Source organism: Homo sapiens, chromosome 1 (assembly GCF_000001405.40).
Source record: "Homo sapiens chromosome 1, GRCh38.p14 Primary Assembly".
NCBI lineage: Eukaryota > Metazoa > Chordata > Mammalia > Primates > Hominidae > Homo > Homo sapiens.
Window position 1 is genome coordinate 187304086 of NC_000001.11, and position 21492 is coordinate 187325577.

A 21492-nucleotide genomic window follows, 5' to 3' on the forward strand; every position below is an offset into this window, starting at 1 on the left:
CAAAGTGCTGATTAGAGGCATGAGTCACTGCGCCTGGCCCTTTAGGCTATCCATCATAGGCAGATGTCTTATCAAGACAGAGAGCTTTTTGAAGAAAATTAAAAAATAAGATTCTGCCTTTGCGTGTAATGACGCAAGCAAGAACTTTTTACATCATTAAATGATTATTTTTCAAAATATATTTGTAAAATACAAGCAGATTTAGCATTTTTGTTTACTAAAAAGAATACATTTCTTTCATGACAACAACATAATCAATGTTCGATATTTGAACTTTGCTTTTCTCTATACATTAGTATAAATTTATCCCTTAGATATGACATAAGTCCAGTGATTCTCAAAAAGGAGAGGAAATATGGGTTTAGGGGAGTTTGAGTGTTCATTGAAGTGGATTTAGAAGTATGAAAGAAGAATCTAATTGAAGGTATATAAAATAGAGATGGCAGTTTGAATTGTGTGGCTTTTTTAACTTTTAAGTTCACAGATACATTTGCAGATTTGTTGTACAGGTATACTTGGGTCATGGGGGTTCGTTGTACAGATTAGTTTTTCACCCAGGTTTTAAGCCTAGTAGTAACAATTAGTCATTTTTCCAGATCCTCTCCCTCCTCCCATCCTTTACCCTCTGATCGACCCTAGTGTCTGTTGTTCTCCTCTATGTATCCATGCATTCACATTACTTAGGTCCCACTTATAAGTGAGAATATGTGGTATTTGGTTGTCTCTTCCTGCCTTACTTTGCTAAGGATAATGGCCTCCACCTCCGTCCATGATCCTGCAAAGGACATGATCTCATTCTTTTTTATGGCTGCATGGTATTCCATCATACATATGTACCACTAAATGTCTATTGATAGGCATTTAAGTTGATTCCATGTCATTGCTATTGTGAATAATGGTGCAATGAACATAGGCATGCATGTGTCTTTTTGATAGAATGATTCATATTCCTTTGGGTATACACCCAGTACTGGGATTGCTGGGTCAAATGGTATTTCTATTTTTAGGTCTTAGAGGAATCACTATACTGTTTTCCACAATGGTTGAACTGATTTATATTCCCACCAACAGTGTTTAAGCATTCCTTTTTCTCCACAACCTTGCCAGTATCTGCTATTTTTTAACTTTTTAATTATAGCTATTCTGACTGGTGTGAAATGGTATCTCATTGTGATTTTGATTTGCATTCTTTAATGATCAGTGATGTTGAAATTTTTTTCATATGTTTGTTGACTGCATGTGTGTCTTCTTTTAAAAGGTGTCTCTTCATATCCTTTGTCCACTTTTTAATGGGGTTGTTTGAAAACTGGCACAAGATTAGGATGCCTTCTCTCACCACTCCTATTCAACATAGTACTGGAAATCATGGCCAGAGCAATCAGGGAAGAGAAGGAAATAAAGGGCAACCAGATGGAAAGAGAGGAAGTCAAACTATCCCTGTTTGCAGATGGTATGATCCTATATTTAGAAAACCCCATAGTCTTGGCCCAAAAGCTCCTGAAGCTGATAAACAACTTCAGCATAGTCTCAGGATACAAAATCAATGTACAAAAATACCTCGCATTTTTATACACCAAGCTGAGACATACATACAGTCAAGCTGAGAGCCAAGTCAGGAACACAATCCCATTCATAATTGCCATAAAAAGAATAAAACACCTAGAAATACAGCTAACCAGCAAGGTGAAAGATCTCTACAAAGAGAGCTATAAAACACTGCTCAAAGAAGTTGGAGAGGACACAGACAAATGGAAAAACATTTCATGCTCATGGATAGACAGAATCAATATTATTAAAATGGCCATACCATCCAAAGCAATTTATAGATTCAATACTATTCCTATCCAACTACCAAGTACATTTTTCACAGAACTAGGAATAGCTATTTTAAAATTCATATGGAACCAAAACAGAGCCCAAATAGTCAAGGCAATCCTAAGCAAAAAGAACACAGCTGGAGGCATCACGCTATCCAACTTTATACTACGGGGCTGCAGTAACCAAACAGCATGGTACTGGTACAATGACAGACACATAGACCAATGGAACAGAATAGAGAGCCCAGAAATAAGAATGCACACCTACAACTATCTGATCTTTGACAAACTTGACAAAAACAAGCAATAGGGAAAGGACTACTTATTCAATAAATGATACTGGGATAACTGGCTAGCCATATGCGGACTCCTTCCTTGTACCATGTACAAAAATTAATCCTGTATGTATTAATGACTTACATGTAAAACCCAAAACTATAAAAACTTTGGAAGACCACCTAAGCAATGCCATGCCGGACACAGAAACGAGCAAAGATTTCATGATGAAGACGCCAAAAGCAATTACAACAAAATCAAAAATTCACAAATGGGGGCTAATTAAACTAAAGAGCTTCTGCACAGCAAAAGAAACTATCAACAGAGTAAATAGACAACCTAGAGAAGTGGGGGAAATGCATCTGACGAAGGTCTAATATCCAGAATCTATAAAGAACTTACACAAATTTACAAGTTTGAATTGTATGAGATAATTATAATCAATTAAAGGGCATTCTATAAAATTTATTTTAAATTAAAGAATTTGAAGCATTATATTAACATAAACCAAATGCGTCTAGCCTCAACAGATTGTCAAAATTCCACTAGTTCACAGACCACACCTGCTTATACAGAACAAAGTGGCATGATCAGATTTTTTTTTCAAAGTGATGGAAACGTTTTGCCAATATGAAAAGCTGAAAAACTGTCAAGCTGCTGTGTGTCATAGATGAGTGATCATAAACGAGTAGCCTGTCTTGGTTGCCTGGGACAGTCATAATTTATACTATTGTCCTAGTGTCGTGGTTAATTGGACCCTTTTTCATTACCAACATTGCTCCAGTTTGCTAAATTACACCTCACCCCAGCCATAGATAGTGTGGGTGGCCTTCCTAATTATGATAAGGTCCCTCTTGGTGGAAGTGACAGTGAGAATAAATGCCCAAGAAGATCTTTAATCAAAAAGAAAGGCTGCTTAGTGGTTGCTGCTGTTGATCTTTCTCTCCTTGGCATAGCGAAGCCTGTGGTATTTTTACAAGTTGAAGACAAACGCTCATAAAGAAGGTCAATATTATAGTTCATGAAGCCACATAAGACAGTTGGTATTTAGGGAAATTGTTTCTGGGTTGCTTTCTCAGCTCTGGTGGGAGCCTAAATGACTGCCAGTATATTTTGGCAGCCATGCTCAACAGACCTGCTCACAGGCCAACGTATTCAAAAGCTCCAGGAAAAAAAAAAAAAAAAAGCCATTTTCCTCTCTCCACCACATACCACACTTCTGGGATTCTGAAATATCTTACCAAGCACTTTATTCAATCTAAATTTAAATAGAAGTTTTCCCCACTTCCCAAGAGAGAAACAACAACGAACTAGATGAGAATGAGAGGAACTGGAAGAAGGTAATGCTCCATATCATTTGGTTAATCTATTCTTGTTTATTAATTTATTACATGGAACAGTAAGTTTAATGGCTTTAACTTTGAAGTGGAAAAGAAGCCCCTACAGTATACTTCCAGAAAATGCAATAATGACTTTAGGAAGATCTAGGACAAGGATTGCATATAATATTTTGGGCTATTTTTCAAGGCCTGCTTTAACCTTAGCCTTCAGATTTATCATTTTACATTAGCCAAAATAAACTACTACCATAAGAAACCATGAATTATTAAAATCAGAACAGTTTCCTATATTTATTAGTTTAGTCATAAAATTGCTATTAGAAATAGCATACAGATGAGTTTGATATCCATAAAATCATTGAAACAACATGACATTTACTACCTGTAGTACATAATTATACTCACATACTCTTAGATGCATTTATTTCTGTCACTGAACCATTATTTTCAGCAAGTTGTGCTGCATTTTCAGAAGTAGAATTTTAACTTCCTCTTATCTTTTATAGTTGTAGTCTTGAAAAGGTATAATTTCAAGAAATATTCTTCAGAGGAAAAAAGTCTTCTTAGGGTACACATCATTTTTTACTATTTTTGATTTTTTAGTAATTTTACTTCTTTTTTCTTTGTTTATACTATGAAATCTATCAAGCTGCACACAGTGGTTAATCATAAATACATTAATCTATTGATATATTTTCTACTGCATCCTGAATTTTAAAATAAATGTTATAAATCTCAAAGTCACATGCAATGAAAGCACACTTAAAATACTACTTAATGAAATTAGTCTCTCTCTTGTATTTTTTTCTTTTATCTGTTCACTTCACCTTTGCACTTCCATTGCTTACATTTATTCAATAATTCATATGAAGAAAAGTTTTTTGTATTTGTTTTTTGGTAAAATGCAGTAATGAAATCTGAGAAGCTGAATTTAGCAATACAGATGCAAACTGTGCCATCAGAAGATTAAAATGAAAGTGAAATGTCCTGAAAATATCAGAATCGCATCAGTAATAGAAGTAAATGAAAAGTGAAGACCTCTTTGAATTATCTTATTTCATTTGACTATGTTCCTCCTGAGTCACAAAAAAAGGATGTTACAGCTATTTTTCTTAAGCTGATGGGCCAAAAGATTGTAGTAAGTATTTTGACGATTGTCTGGTGGGGGGTGTATGCGTGTGTGTGTTTTCTTGATCTTGACATATATTAAATGCATCATTTTCTCTGATTTTCTCCTGAGAATACTTTTTTGAAAGCTCAGGTTAAAATAATTTGACTAATAACTTAAAATAAAGGAATTTAAAAGATACCTTTGTGCTCTACCAAATTAAAGTTTTACAGTATTCTTCACTGTGCTTGAACAGCACCAGGACATCTATCCAAATGAAATATTGTATTAGACTTCTAAATGATTTGCCTTTATTGAAAGGGCCATCCTCCAGTGTAAAAGTATGTCCAGTGTAAAAGTATGTGCTCGAATTTTTAAGGATTTGTGAATGAGTTAAAGCGGTGCTAATTGCCCTTTGAAGCATTAGGAGTCTCTGCTCCTCTATGTATAGTCCTTGATTAGAACTCGAGCAAAATCCTGTTTAGACCATCCCTGGGAGGACCTTGAAATTTGATGGCTAATAAAATGAAATGTACGCCTCTGCAGGGGCTCAACAAGGATTTATGGAATGCTTACTGTGCACTAGACACTGGGATTCCATCATGAGTAAGACTTGGTTTCTACATAAAGAAGCTTAGACAGATGATTTGAACTGAGATATTTTAATATAGGAGCATACTGTATCAGCAAGACTTGAACGCTTAGCCTGACATGGTAGAGCCACTTAGCCCAACCTGACCTTTTACATGAGGCTACTAGATCTTCACCTAAAGGGTGAACAATATAGATATTTTCTCTGCTTCCTTTGTGCACATCTAATTTCAAAACTGCTTAAAATACCTCTACATTGTGCCATCTTCCTGACTAAAAGCTTTATTGTGGTTGATGTGATATGGCACAACCAAGGCTTTTTGTCTCTTCAGAGACTCTTTATCTTTTCCAGAGATTAAATGAGAGTTTTCATGTAACTTTCACTGTAAGTGTGTGAAGGGATTTCAAAATTTTTGTTATCTGTGATAGTGTAACTGGTAGTCCACTATATGGGGAGGGTGGGGTGAAGGGTATGTATATATGGCTGAAGAAAAGGTCTCTCTCTCTCTCTCTTATTTTGGAAAGGAGATAGCATTGATCTTGAGGTCTCTAATTATTGTTGATGCAAGGAGAAGGTTGTTCTTATTTCAGATTACATAATTTCCTAATCTTTCAAATGGTGATAACACCTTTTTATCCCTGATAGAGTTGGATATTTCTGTTCAAGTACTGTTACCACCATTATAACTTAAAGTCAATCCTGAAAATAATATTATGCCATAATGATCTGTTGTTCCATGCCACTTACAAATATGAACCAGCCAAGTCTTTTTATTTTTAATCAATTGAAATTTTACTCTGAGGAAGGGAAGAGATTTTTCAATGCATACAAAGCATTTTCAGCAAAACAAAAATGCTTTTAGAGAAGACTCAGAGGATTATTTCTCATTATTTTTGGCATCCGTCTTTCCATTGAAACAAGTCACAAGCATATCTACAGTTGATCAGTTGACAGATCAGCAATTCTATTAAGACGAAAACTAACCTTGGACATGTTTAGAAGGAAAAGGGTGTCCTTTGATTTATTATGCCATTTTATGCTTGTGCCATTATTTCCCTTTCAGCTATTCAGGCTATGTTAAGTGGAAACATCCAGCATTTTTAATAAAGTGCTTCATTCAAACCAAATATTAACCAGAAGCATTTTAGAAGAGTCTTCTATTAAAGTAAATGAAATAAAGATCACCCAGTTCTGTTCAATAATGGAGAGTAAGGCATAATGAACAGAATATAGCAACATTCTTGCGATGACAAACTATGCTGTCACTTCTTTTTAGTGCCAGCTGAGGTCTGGGTGTTTTCCTCCAGAATTACAGGGACATTTGCTTTTTAGTAGTTGGAAATGCATACTAGTTATTGTGTATCTTGGTGAGAGTTATTGAATGATATGTAGTTCATTTGTATATTTAGGTGAAGTTATTTTGAAAATAATTGTTTTTGCTTGAAGTCAGGATTAATAGCTATTTTATATACTTTGAGATTTGTGGTTTAGTCAAAAGTTAAATGTTCACATTTCTTTGAATTTAAAAGTATTCTCATCAATTTCTCTCTTTGTTGCGTTTTTGAGATTCTATAATCTACTTTCCTCACCACATTCTTTTACAGCCTCTAAATTACCGGTTCTAAATTCTTTCAGGATTTACATTTTACTAAAGAAATATGTAAGATACAGGGAAAGAGTTTCTCAGGAAAGAAGAAATAAAAGTTGAAAAGAACAACATACTTCTAAATACACTTTGACACAAAGTAATCTTAAAATTACAATAATTCTCCATTGAACTTTAATTTTAGATATTCCACCACCGATTTATCAGGATATTTAATTCTACTCTTTGTTCAAATAGATTTAACTTATAAAAACAATGTTTCTTTAGATACTTTGTAGTTGTGATATTAAAAATTATAACTAAATTTCTATTAGTGTCTACTTTATAACTAATATATTAAAGGCATTTTTTGTAATAAAGTGATTGTTTCAAAATTCATTGGCACCTTTAAAAATTGAAGTTTCTCATTACATTTGATAGTTAATCTGAAGAACTATTAAGAAGAATTGGTCTCAGAAATAATCTTACTGGGAGAATATGAGAAAACATATGGATATCTTATAATGATAATAAACTAAAAAATTGTTAAGGTTGTGTTTTCATCACGTGTCTGATGGCAATAAATGAAAAATTAAGCCTATGGATGTATTTATTCAGTTATTTAACAAAAGCTAATTGAATGCCTGCTGTATTTCTGATGCAGTTCTAGGCTCCAGGGACACAAGAGTGACCAAAACTGACAGAACAGGTCATCATGGAGCTTTCAATGTGGCTGAGGATACCTGAGGAAAAAAACATCTGCTGTCAACCTAAACTAAACTTTGCTATCAACCACAATAGGATAACACAGGGTGCTGAGAGAATAACACAGAGGTGCTTGAGTAACATGAGCTCCTAACTGACCACCACTAAGTATGTGGTTCTACCAAATGAATAAAATCACTGGCCATCCTATTAGTTTTGTCTTTGCTTAGCCTAATGATAGGAAACGAATGGAACTTTGCCATCAAACGAATACAAGATAATCCCTATTGCTTGAATTCTTAATTGTTTTTTGGACTACTGATATATTTTACTTCATTTGGTACCGTAGTTTACATATTTTAAATAAAGTATTATACATAATATCTTACATAAATATGAATGATTTCAAGGTGCTACATCCCTGGAATTGTTATATTTTAATCTGTTGATGTTGCTAAAACCCACAGTGGTGGCAATGTTACTAAAATTGAATTCATTCTTTCACCTGAAGGTAATGCATAAAGAGGTAAGGCCAAAATACTGAACGAAACTTAATATAGTAATTAAAGTGTGCTGTAAATTTTGCACTTCTTATTAAAGTTTAGTTTCAATTAATTAGCATCTTAGAAATAAAAAGGATAATTTTTAAAGTATTCTAATTTTCAATAAATAAAAAGAAAATATTACTAAGATTCCTAGGATATATTGATCAATACTATCCATTAATGTAACTGAAAGTGGTTAGAAAATTTCAGGACCAACTACTGTAAACTAAAATCAGAGCTTTAGTTCATCCATAGCCAAAAATATTTATCTCTGTGTTCTGCAGAGCATAAAGCTAGGGAAGTAAATAAGCATTGTGTGAAATTTGTGATTAAAATGAACTTCTATTTAAATAAAAAAGAAAAAGCACTTGATAAGACAGAATGTCTCCATGATGTTCCCTCCACGTTTATATATATTTATATCAACTATATCTGTCTATATTATCTGTATTTATATGACTAGTTAGCTAGCTGTTATTTATCTATATTTAATGTCTATACTCATATCTATAGTATAAATAATTTTCAAGCTATATATGTCTGTGTATATACAGGAGTGTAATTTTTGATATAATTAACTGTATGTGTATATATGTATATCACACATGGTTTTTGATATAACTAATGTTATAGCATTTTATATTTTTAATTTATTTACACTTATTACCATAGCAAAAATGGGATCAATATAGGATCTAATTTACATATAACTATAATTAGCAATTAACTCTTCCACATGCATTTATTTTTATTAGCATCTCTCAAAATCAGTAAGTGAATGTGCATTAGTTTCAGAAAACAACAGCAGATTAAAAATGGAAAAAAACTGTAGAGCCAAATGAAAAGTGGTAGTAAAACAAGTTCATTACAATTTAAAATGTTAAATACTGCTAATAAATGTTTCTAATGTTAGAGTAATAGCTAAATATCAAAACTTCTATGTAATTCATAAATTCCATCAAATATGAAATTGAGAAACACAATTTAAAAATAACCTTCTATCAGGCAAATCCTTAAATAAATACCTGTGAAAGGAATGTGGAGTAATGTAAACACCAATTCCTCACCTATGTAATTGTTGATAGTCCTCTGAAATTCTCATTTTTTTAGCTGTTTAAACTTGTTTCTCTTTCTTTTATTAAATACAACCCTGTATTGGCATTTTCCATTTGATAGAAAAATAACCTGATACAAGCAGAATTGTCAAGAAATGTCATATGTCAAAAAATGAAGTGACAAATGAGAAAGGGCTGAGTCACTTAGAAAATATCTTGCAGACAGCCAACGGAAACAAGCACTAAATTAAAGAGAGTGGCTGGTGGAAATAGGTCAAAACAGCCCAGTGAAGCATAGTCGTTATATGACAAAATGACCAGAAGATGTGTTTACATTACTGGTATGTAAACTACATATTATCAGAGGCTTGATATTGGTGACCTTCAAATTAAGTACCTTAATTTTGTCGGATGCTTTGGTTTTATGTTATTTACTTCTGCTTAATTTCAACATGGTGTTATTTATAAAAATCTTGATTTAATTTGTCTTAATCAAATACTGCTCAAAGTAATTATATGGATACACTGCCAACTCAAAGACAGCTTTTCTCCTTATATGTGGTCAAAAATTTGACATATTCATATACATTTACCCAGATTACAAAATTCTCTTTCAAATGTTGCCACACATTCTGCCACAGACATGAAGGAATTTGTGGATTTTCTCTTAGTTGCTGTCACTTCTTCTCCATGCCCTGCATAGTCCCTGAAGGATTCTAGTTGTATGTTAAAAATAAGACAATCAAAATTCTTGTCTCCCTGATTCTTTTTTTCCCACACATAACGTCAGTTAATGCTTCCAGTAATCTAACTGGTATTAGTTACCTTGCTCCCTCAGTATCAGTTCCAATTTTTAAGGAATACTCTTTTCAATGAGTGAATTAATGATCCTAAAGAAGGTTAAGTAAATCTACAATATTTTTTTCCAATCCCAAGAATGGTTATAATTTCTCAAGATATTAGACATCTATGAAGATTGCTCAAACCCCAGTCTCTAGCCTGTTTTTTAGATATAATTATGTTCTGTAAATTTACCTGATGTTCCATAAGGCTGTGCACTCATTCACTGAAGCATTCAATTTCCAACAATTAATCTCCTCTATGCTTTAACTGAGGTGTCAGATCAGTTTCTGTAAGTTCAGTCTGAAAGGGAGGGAATATTCTCATAAGTCCTAGGACTGCCTTTACTGCTAGGTATTGTGGAACAATCTGGACTTGGACTTTCCTTTGTTGGAGGATGCTTAACCATAATTTTGATTTCTGTAATACATGCTTGACTATTTATGTTACCTATTTGTTTTTGAGTACGAGTAGGGAGTTTCTACCTTTTGAGTAATTTCATTTAAATTGTTGAATTTATGAGCAGAGGGTGGATTATAATATTGCTTTATTAGTTTGTAAATGACTCTGTGTTTTTAGTGATGTTCTTTCTTTCATCCTGGTATTGGCAATTTGTATATTCACTAATTCTTTCCCTCTCTCATTGGCTGGTCAATCTGGTAGTTGTCTGTTAGTTATATGGCTCTTTTCAAAGAATCAGCTTTAGATTTCATTGACTTTCTCTATTGGTTTACAATTTTTAATTTCACCAATCTCTGCACTTAAATTTATTTTTTTATTTTTTTGTCTTTCAAGCTTGGAAGACCTTATCTTTTAAAAACCACTTTATTGAGGTATAATTGACATTTTAAAAATCTGTACATATTTAATGTATATAACATGAGTTTGGAGATAAGCATATATCCATGAACCTATCATTACAATTTATACCATAAACATACCCATCATTTCCAAAGTTTCTTCTCACCTTCTTTTTTTTTTTGGTAATAAGAACACTTAACATAAGGTCTACCCTACGAGCACATTTTTAGGTCTACAATACAGTATTGTTAAAGATAGTTACTCTGCTGTACAGTAGATCTCCAGGACTTATTCATCCAGCATAACTAAAACTTTGTAACCTTTGACAAATGCCTCCCTGTTCCTCCTTCTCCCAGTCCCTGGCAACTACCATTCTACTCTCTATTTCTATGAAATTGATTATTTCAGATTCCTCATATAGTGGTATCATGTAATATTTGTCCTTCAGTGTCTGGCTTATTTCACTTAGCATAATGTCTTTCAGTCTCATCCATTTGGTCTCAAATGGCAGTATTTCATTCTTTTTTTAATGCTTAATAATATTCCATTGTATGTTTCTGTAAAAAAATTTAAATCCATCCATCAATGGACTTTTGTGTTGCCTCCATGTCTTGGCAACTGCAACTAATGCTGCAATAAACATGGGACTGCAGATAGCTGGTTGAGATCTTGATTTCAGTTCATTTGGAGAAATACCCCTAAGCAGGATTGCTGCATCATATAGTAATTCTACTTTTCACTTTTTGAGGAAACTTCATGCTTTTTTCCAAAAGCAGCCATGCCATTTTGCATTCTTGCCAGCAGTATACAAGTGTTCCCCTTTCTCCACATCCTCCTCAACAATTGTTATATTGTTTTTATTTTAGTAATAGCCATCCTAACTAGAATGAGGTAATATTTTATTGTGTTTTTTATTTGTAGTTCCCTGATGTTTAGTGATGTTGAGTGCATATTCATATATCTGTCAGCCACTTGTATGTCTTCTTTGGAAAAATACCTATTCAGTTATGTTGCCCAGTTCTTAATTTCTTAATTGGTTCATTTGTTTTTTGTTATTGTTTTGTAGAAATTCCTTATGTATTTCAGAAATTAGTCCTTTATCAGATATATAGTTTGCAAATATTTTCTTCTGTTCTGTAGGTTGCTTTTTCATTTTATTGTTTTTGTTTGTTTGTTTTGCTGTGCAGAAGCCTATTAGTTTGATGCAGTCTTACTTGTTACTTATCTAATTTCCTTTTAGTTGCCTGTGCTTTTGGTGTTATATCCAAAAAATCATTGGCAACAACAATGTCAAGAATTTTTTTCTGTATTTTCAGCTTTATGGCCTCACGTCTTGTGTTTAAATTTTTAATCCATTTTGAATTAAGTTTTGTATATGGTGTAAGATAAGGCTCTAAATGGAACTGAATAAATTACTAAAAATATACATTATACCAAGGAAGAATCAAAAACAAATAGAAACTAAGGTGATTGAATCAGTAATGAAAAGCCCCCAACAAAGAAAAGCCTAGGACGAGATGACATCACAGGTGAATTCTACCAAACATTTAAAGAATAATGAATACCAATCCTTCTTAAGCCCTTCCAACAAATAAGAGATGAGGGAACATTTTCAAACTTTTTCATATGACACCAACATCACCAGAATACCAAAGCCAGGCAAAGATACTAAGGCAAAGAACAGAAAACTCCAGGTCAGTATTACTAATTAAGATGGATATATAATTCCTCCACAAAATATGAGCAAATTAAATTTAACAGCCATCAAAAGGAGCATACACCATGACCAAGTGGGATTTATTCTGTGGATGCAATAGTGCTTCAACATATGTAAGTTCAGTCCAAGTCATACACCACATTGGCAGAATGAAGGATAAAAATCACATGATCATCTTCATAGTTACAGGTAAAACATTTGATAAAATTTAATTCCCTTTCATGGTAAAAAGTCTCCAACAGATTGAGTGTAGAAGAAATTTACTTCAATGCAATATAAGACATATATGATAAGCCAATAGCTAACACCATACTCAATGGTGAAAAACTGAAAGCTTTTCCTGTAAGATTTGGAACAAGGCAAGAATGTTGATGCTTGCCACTTCTATTCAGTATAATATTGGAAGTTCTAGCTAGATAAATTGGGCAATAAAATGTATCCAAATTAGAAGTACAAATTAAATTATCTCTGCTTGTAGAGGACATAATCTTACATGCAGGAAACCCTAGAGACCTCACCCCCCCCACCACCATAAAACACCATTAGAACTAATAAATGAACTCAGTAAATTAACTGGATATAAAATCAACATACAAAAATCAGTTGCATTTCTATACAACAACAGTGAACTATTCAAAAAATGTTTAAGAAAACAATTATGTTTACAATAGCATCGATAATAATTAAATACTTAAAAATAAACAATTGAGGTAAAAGACATGTACACTGAAATCTGTAAGACACTGATAAAAAAAATTTAAAAAGACAGAAATAAGTGGAAAGACATCTCATGTTTATACATTGGAAAAATATTGTTAAAATGTCCACACTACACAAAGAGATGTACAAGTTCAGTTGAATTCCTATCAAAAATTAGTGGTGTCCTGCCAAGAAATAGAAAAAAATTCTAAAATTCATATGGAACAAAAAAAGGCCAGGAGCAGCCAAAGCAATTTTATTTATTTATTTATTCATTTATTAATTTATTTATTTGAGATGGAGTCTTGCTCTGTCGCCCAGGCTGGAGTGCAGTGGCGCAATCTCGGCTCACTGCAACCTCCACCACCTGGTTCAAGCGATTCTTCTGCCTCAGCTTCCCTCAGCCTCCCGAGTAGCCTGGATTACAGGCTCACACTACCACACCTGGCTAATTTTTGTATTTTTAGTAGAGACGGTGTTTCACCATGTTGGCCAGGCTGGTCACGAACTCCTGACCTCAAGCGATCTGCTCACCTCAGCCTCCCAAAGTGTTGGGATTACAGGTGTGAGCCACTGCAATTTTGAGGCAGAACAAAGTGGAAGTTATCACATACTTCCTGACTTCTAACTATATTACAAAACTACAGCAATCAAATCTGTATGTTACTAAAGATAGGCGTATAGACCAGTGGATCAGAATAAAGAGCCAAAATAAACCAAAGAATAAACAATCAACTGATCTTTGACAAGAGTTCCAAGAATACACACTGGGGAAATGACAGTCTTCAATAAGTCAAGTTGGGAAAGCAGACATTCACGTTCAGAAGAATTAAATTGCTCTTATTTCCATGTTTCTGATTGATATGGGTTCAATTTGCTCTGATTTTTCCAGTTTTCTAAAGGAGAAGATCAGGCTTCTTATTAAATATCTTTATTTCTAATATAATCAATTAATTATATAAATGTCCTACTTACTACTGTTTAACTCTATCTGTCCAATTCTGATATATTTAAAATTCCATTCAGTCAATGGTTTTAATTTTCTTTGGGCCTTCTCTTTCAACTGACTTCTTTGACTTAATATTTGAGTCCTTCCAGATATCTTTCTGTTAATAATTTTTGGTTTAATTTTGTCATGGTCCATAAAACATATTTCATATGATAAACTTTTAAATGTGTTAAAATGTGTTAAAAATGTGTAGTGCTCAGAATATGGCATATCTTGGTGAAAGCTCCATGTGCACTGGTACATTATATTCCTGCTATTTTTGAGTGAAGGGTTCTCTAAATGCCAACTAAGTCGCATCGGTTAATGGTATTGTTCAGATCTTCTAAATCCTTACTAATATCTGTTTACTTGTGAGAAACCATTTGCTGAGAGGGAAGTGGTGAAGTCTCTAACTGGAAATAGGAATTTATTTATTTTCCCTTATAGTCCTCTAACTGAAAATATGAATTCTTAGTTTCATACATAATTTGCATATAATAATTCATAAATATTAGCTTCGATGTTTTGAAGTTCTGATGTTCATGAATATACATTTATAATTACTATGACTTCTTGGAAAATGGATTCATTATTATTATCTAAACCCTCCCTTTTCTTTGGTGATATTCTCATTCTGAAGTCTACTTTGTCTTATAGAAGGACAGCTACTCCAACTTACTTTTGAATAGTGTTTGCGTAGTATTCTTTTTCCTATCCTTTCATTTTAACCTATCCATGTCTTTGTATTTAAATGGCATCTTAGCTCAAGCTGCTATAGCAGAATACCATAGTTGGGTGGCTTAAACAACAGACATTTATTTCTGACAGTTCTGGAAGTTGGGAGGTCCAAAATGAATGTGCTGTCAGATTTGGTTCTCGGTAGCCCACACTCAGCCTTTATGAATTTTTAACAATTTTAGCTGAATTCTTTTTTTAGGTATATCCAACTGGATTGGTCTCAGTTAAGAAAGTGCCTGCGTGCTATCTGTCTCTTTTCTGAGGGACTTGTTTTTCCTTAGATTTACATCCCTAGTAGAAACCTGAAGTATACCAGTTTTCTTCTGAATGTTTACTCACAAAAAGATTTTAATATGCTTCTGTAAGGATAGTATATAACAAGCATCCATTCATTCATCAAATTTTAATGAGCACTTTCTATCTGTGAGGTGCTATTCGGGAGGCTGAAGTAAGTAAAAGAGAGAAATATCAATAGGATCTTGTAGCTGGCTTTCTTTATGGAGTGAGGAGGGCAAAAAAATCAATAATATGCACATAAATTTTATGCTATTTTAAAGATTGTTAAATGCTACTGCAAAAAGTAATAAAATAAAGAAGAAAAGGGAGATAAGTAGTGCCATTAGGTAATGACTTTCATTTTAAATGAGGTGGTCAAGAAAAGTTTCATTGAGAAGATACAATTTGGTCAGAGACTTGATAAGGTGAAGCTCATCCTGTTGATATCACCCTGTGGAGAAACAGCATTTCCAGGAGGTAAAAATAGTAAGTACAAGAGGCTCCTAGACGGACAAGCTTGGTATTCTTGAGAGAGCAAGGAGACCAGTGTGGCTGCTATGTACAGTGGCCAAGGGGAATAGTGATAGGATATGTTAGACAGGTGGGCAATGGGCAAATTAATCCTATAAGGTCTGATATGTTATTGTACTGCCTTTGGCTTTTATTCAGAGGGACATGTAGAAACTTGGTAGGATGTTGAGTAGAGGAATAACATGATCTTACTTTAATTTTTTAAAGTGTCACTCCAGCCACTTTGTTGAGAATAGTCTGGGGTATTAAACATGATTGGCATAATCAAATTGTCATGCCATTTAATAAGGGTGACCTTTAAAGAAGATTTCTCCTTTGAGTCCAATTCGGAGTTCTTTCTCCCTTCTAGTAAAATTGTATTTAATTGTCAAAAATGAAGCATGACTTTATTCTACAATTAATGGGACTTAAAATGCTAAACTGCAAATCATAATGGCTTAAACTATACACCAGTAAAATTTGAAAAATATTCTGATGTATTTCATATAATCAATTATTTTGTGATGTGCCTACTTTGTCATTAATCGCATATATTGGGAATGTCCTGAAAGAATATATACTACATTTATAATAGTTCCATCCTTCTCAAATTTCTTTAACTTATATTTCCTATACTTCTCATTCATCTGGATACTTAAGGTTAACATTCTGAAGTTTAAAGACAAGGGAGTAACAGACACGAGTTTTTAATCTCAGCATTCTGCCACCCATTTATCCACACCAGCCCTCAAAGTAGACTCACAGTGTATAAAATTTACTGTAACTCAAATTTTCCATTAAGTTTATTTGCAGTTTTCCTGGTGGTACAGTTAGCAGAAAGCTGTTCTCATTGTGCTTTCTGTAGAACAGACCAAATTATAGCTACTAATATTTTGAAAATAATACTGATAAACAGTATGCATATGTTTCTGTTGGTGTACTTTCATGTGGTCTGTGGTAATATTTTTAAAGAAAATCTCATTTTAATAGCTAATCACAATTTTTTCATAATTTAAACATTAAATTCAGTTCAGGTTGGATCATATGAATATACTTATTTTTATTTTTTGCTGACTGCCTATCCCTCCTGTCTCCTAATAAAACCCCCAAAATTTTGATGTGTTGGACAGATACTTCACTTCTAAATGCCAAATGGAAAAATAGTGCCTAGGATAATAGGCTCCTAATTTTGCTATCATTGTTGAATGACTGAATGTACTGTGATAACACAGTGTTTGAATTATGTTCTTATCTCCTGTATATACAACTGTTGACTTGATTTTTACCTGGATAATTTGCAAATAACTCACATGCGATATGTCTGTAACTGAAACCATTTTTCCCAAATTCAAATGTGGTTCTTCTGTTACGTTTTACTGCACCACCATCCATTGGGCTCTTCAAATCAGATACCTGGAGATTATTTTTGACACATTTTTTTCATTTAACCCCTACACATAAACATTCATTAACTGACATAACTTCTGCACCTTGACTATTTTGCAAACATTTTTTATTTTTTGCATTCTACCACTGCCATTTCACTTGAAGCCATTATCTCTTACTTTGATGACTGCAATGGCCGTCCTTTTGCAACAACTACCGCAGCCACACTCTAATTCAATCTCTGAGAGATCATTCAGACATTCAAATCTATCAGCTCACTTCCTTCTTAAAATAATTTTGGTAGATGCCCATTGCTCATAAGGACAACATTTCAAAATATGGTCTATAAAGTCCTGACCTACACTCTCACCTAAACATCACATGACATATTCTGCTTCAGTTTTTATCTTTCAGTCGTATGTTCCTCCATCCAGTCCCTGAGATGAACCCTGAATCTCCCCTATTAGAAGTTTTTGTTAGTTCCTAGAATGATCTCACACTTCCCAGACTCTGCCCTCCCCAACACTTCATCCTGACTCTTCCCCCAACCTCTCTTTATGATCTGAGTTACATTCATTTTTCGAGTCATAGCTTAAGCATCTTGTTTTTGCTTGTGTGTGTGTGGCATTTTTTATTTTTGTTTTACTTTATAAGCCATTTGTTTTTCCTATACCCACTTCCAAAGTAGTATGTATTTTCTTTCGCCACACTGTTTACATTTATTTATTTGTTTATTTATTTTTGAGATGGAGTTGTCTCACTCTGGCACGATCTCAGCTCACTGCAACCTCCGCCTCCTGGGTTCGAGAGATTCTCCTGCCTCACTCAGCCTCCCAGGTAGCCGGGATTACAGGCATGCACCACCATGCCTGGCTAATTATTTTGTATTTTTAGTAGAGACAGGTTTCACCATGTTGGTCAGGCTGGTCTTGAACTCCTGACCTCAAATGACCCATCTGCCTTGGCGTCCCAAAGTGCTTTACTTTTAATTGTTACATTTTTCTATATACGTTTCTCCAAATACACTGTCAGCACAATGAGGTTATGAACAATGTCTGTACTGTTCAGTGATTTATCCCAGCTCTTAGCACAGTGTTTGGGACACAGTGTTCAACCAGTAAATATTTGCTGAATGAATTAATTATTAAATTCCAAATGAACTTTTGGAATGCAACAAAAATGTATCAAGTAAATTGAATAATAGAAACTCTGATTATCTCCTAATGATGAGTTTCAGAGTAATTATAAATATTATCCTTTTAATCAGACATTTTGACAATAAATTTGAGCTTCATTTTTGTAGAATTGGTATTTTATAGAATTTATATTTTCTAGAAAATGACTAGCTATAATCAATATTACAATAATATAATTAACATTATATTTAAAAATGATTTGAGCCAATCTCAAATTATATACCATTTGTCTTTGAGGGAAAAAATGTATTACAATATATCCCTGGCAAGCATCCAATTTGTAATTAGAAAATATTATTCTTGTTCCCCTCCCTGTGTCCATGTGTTCTTATTGTTCAACTTCCACTTATGAGTGAGAACATGCAGTGTTTGGTTTTCTGTTCCTGTGTTAGTTTGCTGAGGATGATGGTTTCCAGCTTCATCAGAACAACACACACCAGAGCCTGTTGGGGGTTGGGGAGCAAGGGGAAGGAGAATGTTAGGACAAATACCTAATGCATACAGGACCTAAAACCTGGATGATGGGTTCATAGGTGCAGCAAACCACCATGGCACATGTATACCTATGTAACAAACCTGCACATTCTGCACATGTATCCTGGAACTTAAAGTAAAATTTTAAAAAAAGAAAATACTATTCTTCATATATAAGAATACATCTAAGAACCTCTTAATGGCCTTTTTTTTTTTTACAGACTTTGGTGTTCTAAAAATTATTTAGAAGTTTCTTTTCCTCAACATTTGATATTTAAGAGTTATTTCAGTCCAGTTGTTGAAACTTCCAGTGCATGTGCTTGGGTTTCTATTTATAATTTAAGGCATTAGGCAAAAGTACATGAATAGTGGAAGAAAAAACCGAATGAACAAAAAATTTTTGCCAAAAATAATGGCAAATGAGCCTACCCTAAGTAACTTTTAAAAATATTTTAATACCTATACACAAGGCAAATCCTCACATATAAATGTATCATAAACAAGATTTATAGCATGCATTTACATTATTTTTTTTTGTTAAGATGTCACTGGTTTTTGTAATGTGGAACAGATACCTAAGTTCTATTATCATTAATATGTGCCTAGTATTACTCCTTTATCTGACACTATTCATCACATTCTAATTAATCATCAAGAAACCAACTATTCTTTTTCAGATATGAACCAATAACTCTTGGGATTATTAAATCATTTTTCAAAAACATTTCATTCCTTCACGCTAATAATTCAGTGCAAATGAAATTTCAGAATAACAGCCAGATCATATTAAATAATATTCTTTGATATTTTGTCTCATGCATGAAAATTTCATTCTGCATTTGAAATCTGTGTTTTCTTTTCAAAGCCATTTGCAGTATTGTAATAAGCAGCAAAAGACCATTCACAAACTATAATATGAGCTTCAGTTGAAGCTGGAAAATGTTACAGAACTTCTTGTTCTTGAAGTTTGTAAGGGTGGATTGAGTGGATTGGTCGCTGGGAACAAAAAAGAAAATGCAGGACATTATTATTTGTTTAGTAATATTTAATCTTATTTTAATCTCTATCTTTTCTCTGTTACACTTGATAAAACATCAATGATCTAATTTTCTAGAATAATTTGCAATTTATACCTGTACTCATCACAGCACAGAAACAGAAAAATGGCACTGTGATTTGAATGTTTGTTGTGTTCCCTGTTGAAAGTCCAACCTCCAAGGTGATGGTATGTAGAGTTGGGACCTTTGGGAGGTCCCATCATGATCATAGGAGATCATGAGGGAGGACCCCTCATGAATCAGATTAACACTCTTACAGGTCCAAGGGAGCTTATTTGTTCCTTCTATCTATCATTTATAGACATAGCTGGAAGGCACCATCCATGAACCAACAAATAGGCTCTCACCAGAAATCAAATATTCCTTGATCTTGGATTTTTCAGCCTCCAGAACTGTGAGATATAAATTTCTGTTGTTTACAAGCTACCCAATCTACAGCATTTTGTTATAGCAGACCAGATTAGGACAAATGGAAAGAAAAAATGATCTTCAAGGTCCATTTACATATATTATTTCCTAAATTTATGATCTTTTTGATAAGTTGAAATTGGTATGGGTAGGTGAGAATTTCTATGTCCATTTAGTGACATTCAATGTGATACCAAAGCCTAAATCATCAAGGCAATTGGCCAGGAATCCTATTGTGGTTCTCATCCACCTTCATACCCAACAACCAATTCCATGATCTGGGAACTCTTGATTTATATCCTTGAACTATGGGATGGCATAGAAAACATGAAGGGAGCACTTCAATGATTCTACCTTTCACCACAGAAATTCAAGGACACCTGCTCCTATTTATATTTTTAACAGGGACAGTATTGTTTATTATTACTGTTATTTTAAATAATCACTGAAGACATCTTTGAGTGCTTAATTCCTATTATAAATAATTGGACTTACAAACATATAAGTATAAATTAGGTAATATTAATATCTCTAACTAAATCTTAATACTTTAAAGTCCCATCTATTGCACAGTGGGACTTCAGATTCTCCAACCCTAGCCTCTTTGGATGCCCCCCTCTATCTTTCCTAATAGCATATCATAAAATAAAATCATCATTTTTTGGATATGTTTTTCTCTTCATGTGATCTATGCCATGTAATGGTGTCTTTTACATCCTGGGATTGTTATGTAATTCTCATATCTTTTTACATTCTGGAATATGTGACAAGAAGTGTTGGTGAAACATTAACCAGATACAATAATCTCAGTGGTCTATAATGTTCTATATCAGGACAGTGTATGAAAATAATTATCTTATGTAAAAATAAGAGAAATATTTGCAAGTTTGATGTAAGATGGATATATATAAGACATGGTAAAAATTAACTTATAAAATTTTGTGCTGATTTAATTATGTGCATTAAAGATGTTCTAAAGTTCTTCTTGGAGAAAGAATAAAGACATACTAATAAGAGTCATCATCAAGTGGATAATGGCAGAGGAATTGTCTAAAGAATATTATCCTCAGTCACTACCATAAAGCATTGATACATTCCCTAAATATATTTAGCTTTACTTCTTTTCAGTACCAGTGTTGAAGCAGGAGTTAAGTGTCCCAGGTAAAACAGATCCTGATGAATCAGTGGGCCTAGCTATTGTAATGAATGCTGCTGCACAACTGAGAGATATCAAGTGACTCCTAACCCTGGTCTGGATGCTTTTCCAATATAGAAGTTGGGATTTAGCAATAACTATGCATGAAGAATCAGTCTGGATAAGAGTGCTCACTTCTGCCTCTACTGTTTCTTTCAGTGATAGACTCACAAGCCCTATGTG

General features: G+C 33.5%; 1 long non-coding RNA gene across 1 annotated transcript in view; it reads left to right on the forward strand.

The window, feature by feature from the left end:
* Positions 1 to 21492, forward strand: part of LINC01036 (long intergenic non-protein coding RNA 1036) — a 267403-nt gene that overhangs the window by 211244 nt on the left and 34667 nt on the right. The window lies entirely within an intron of this gene.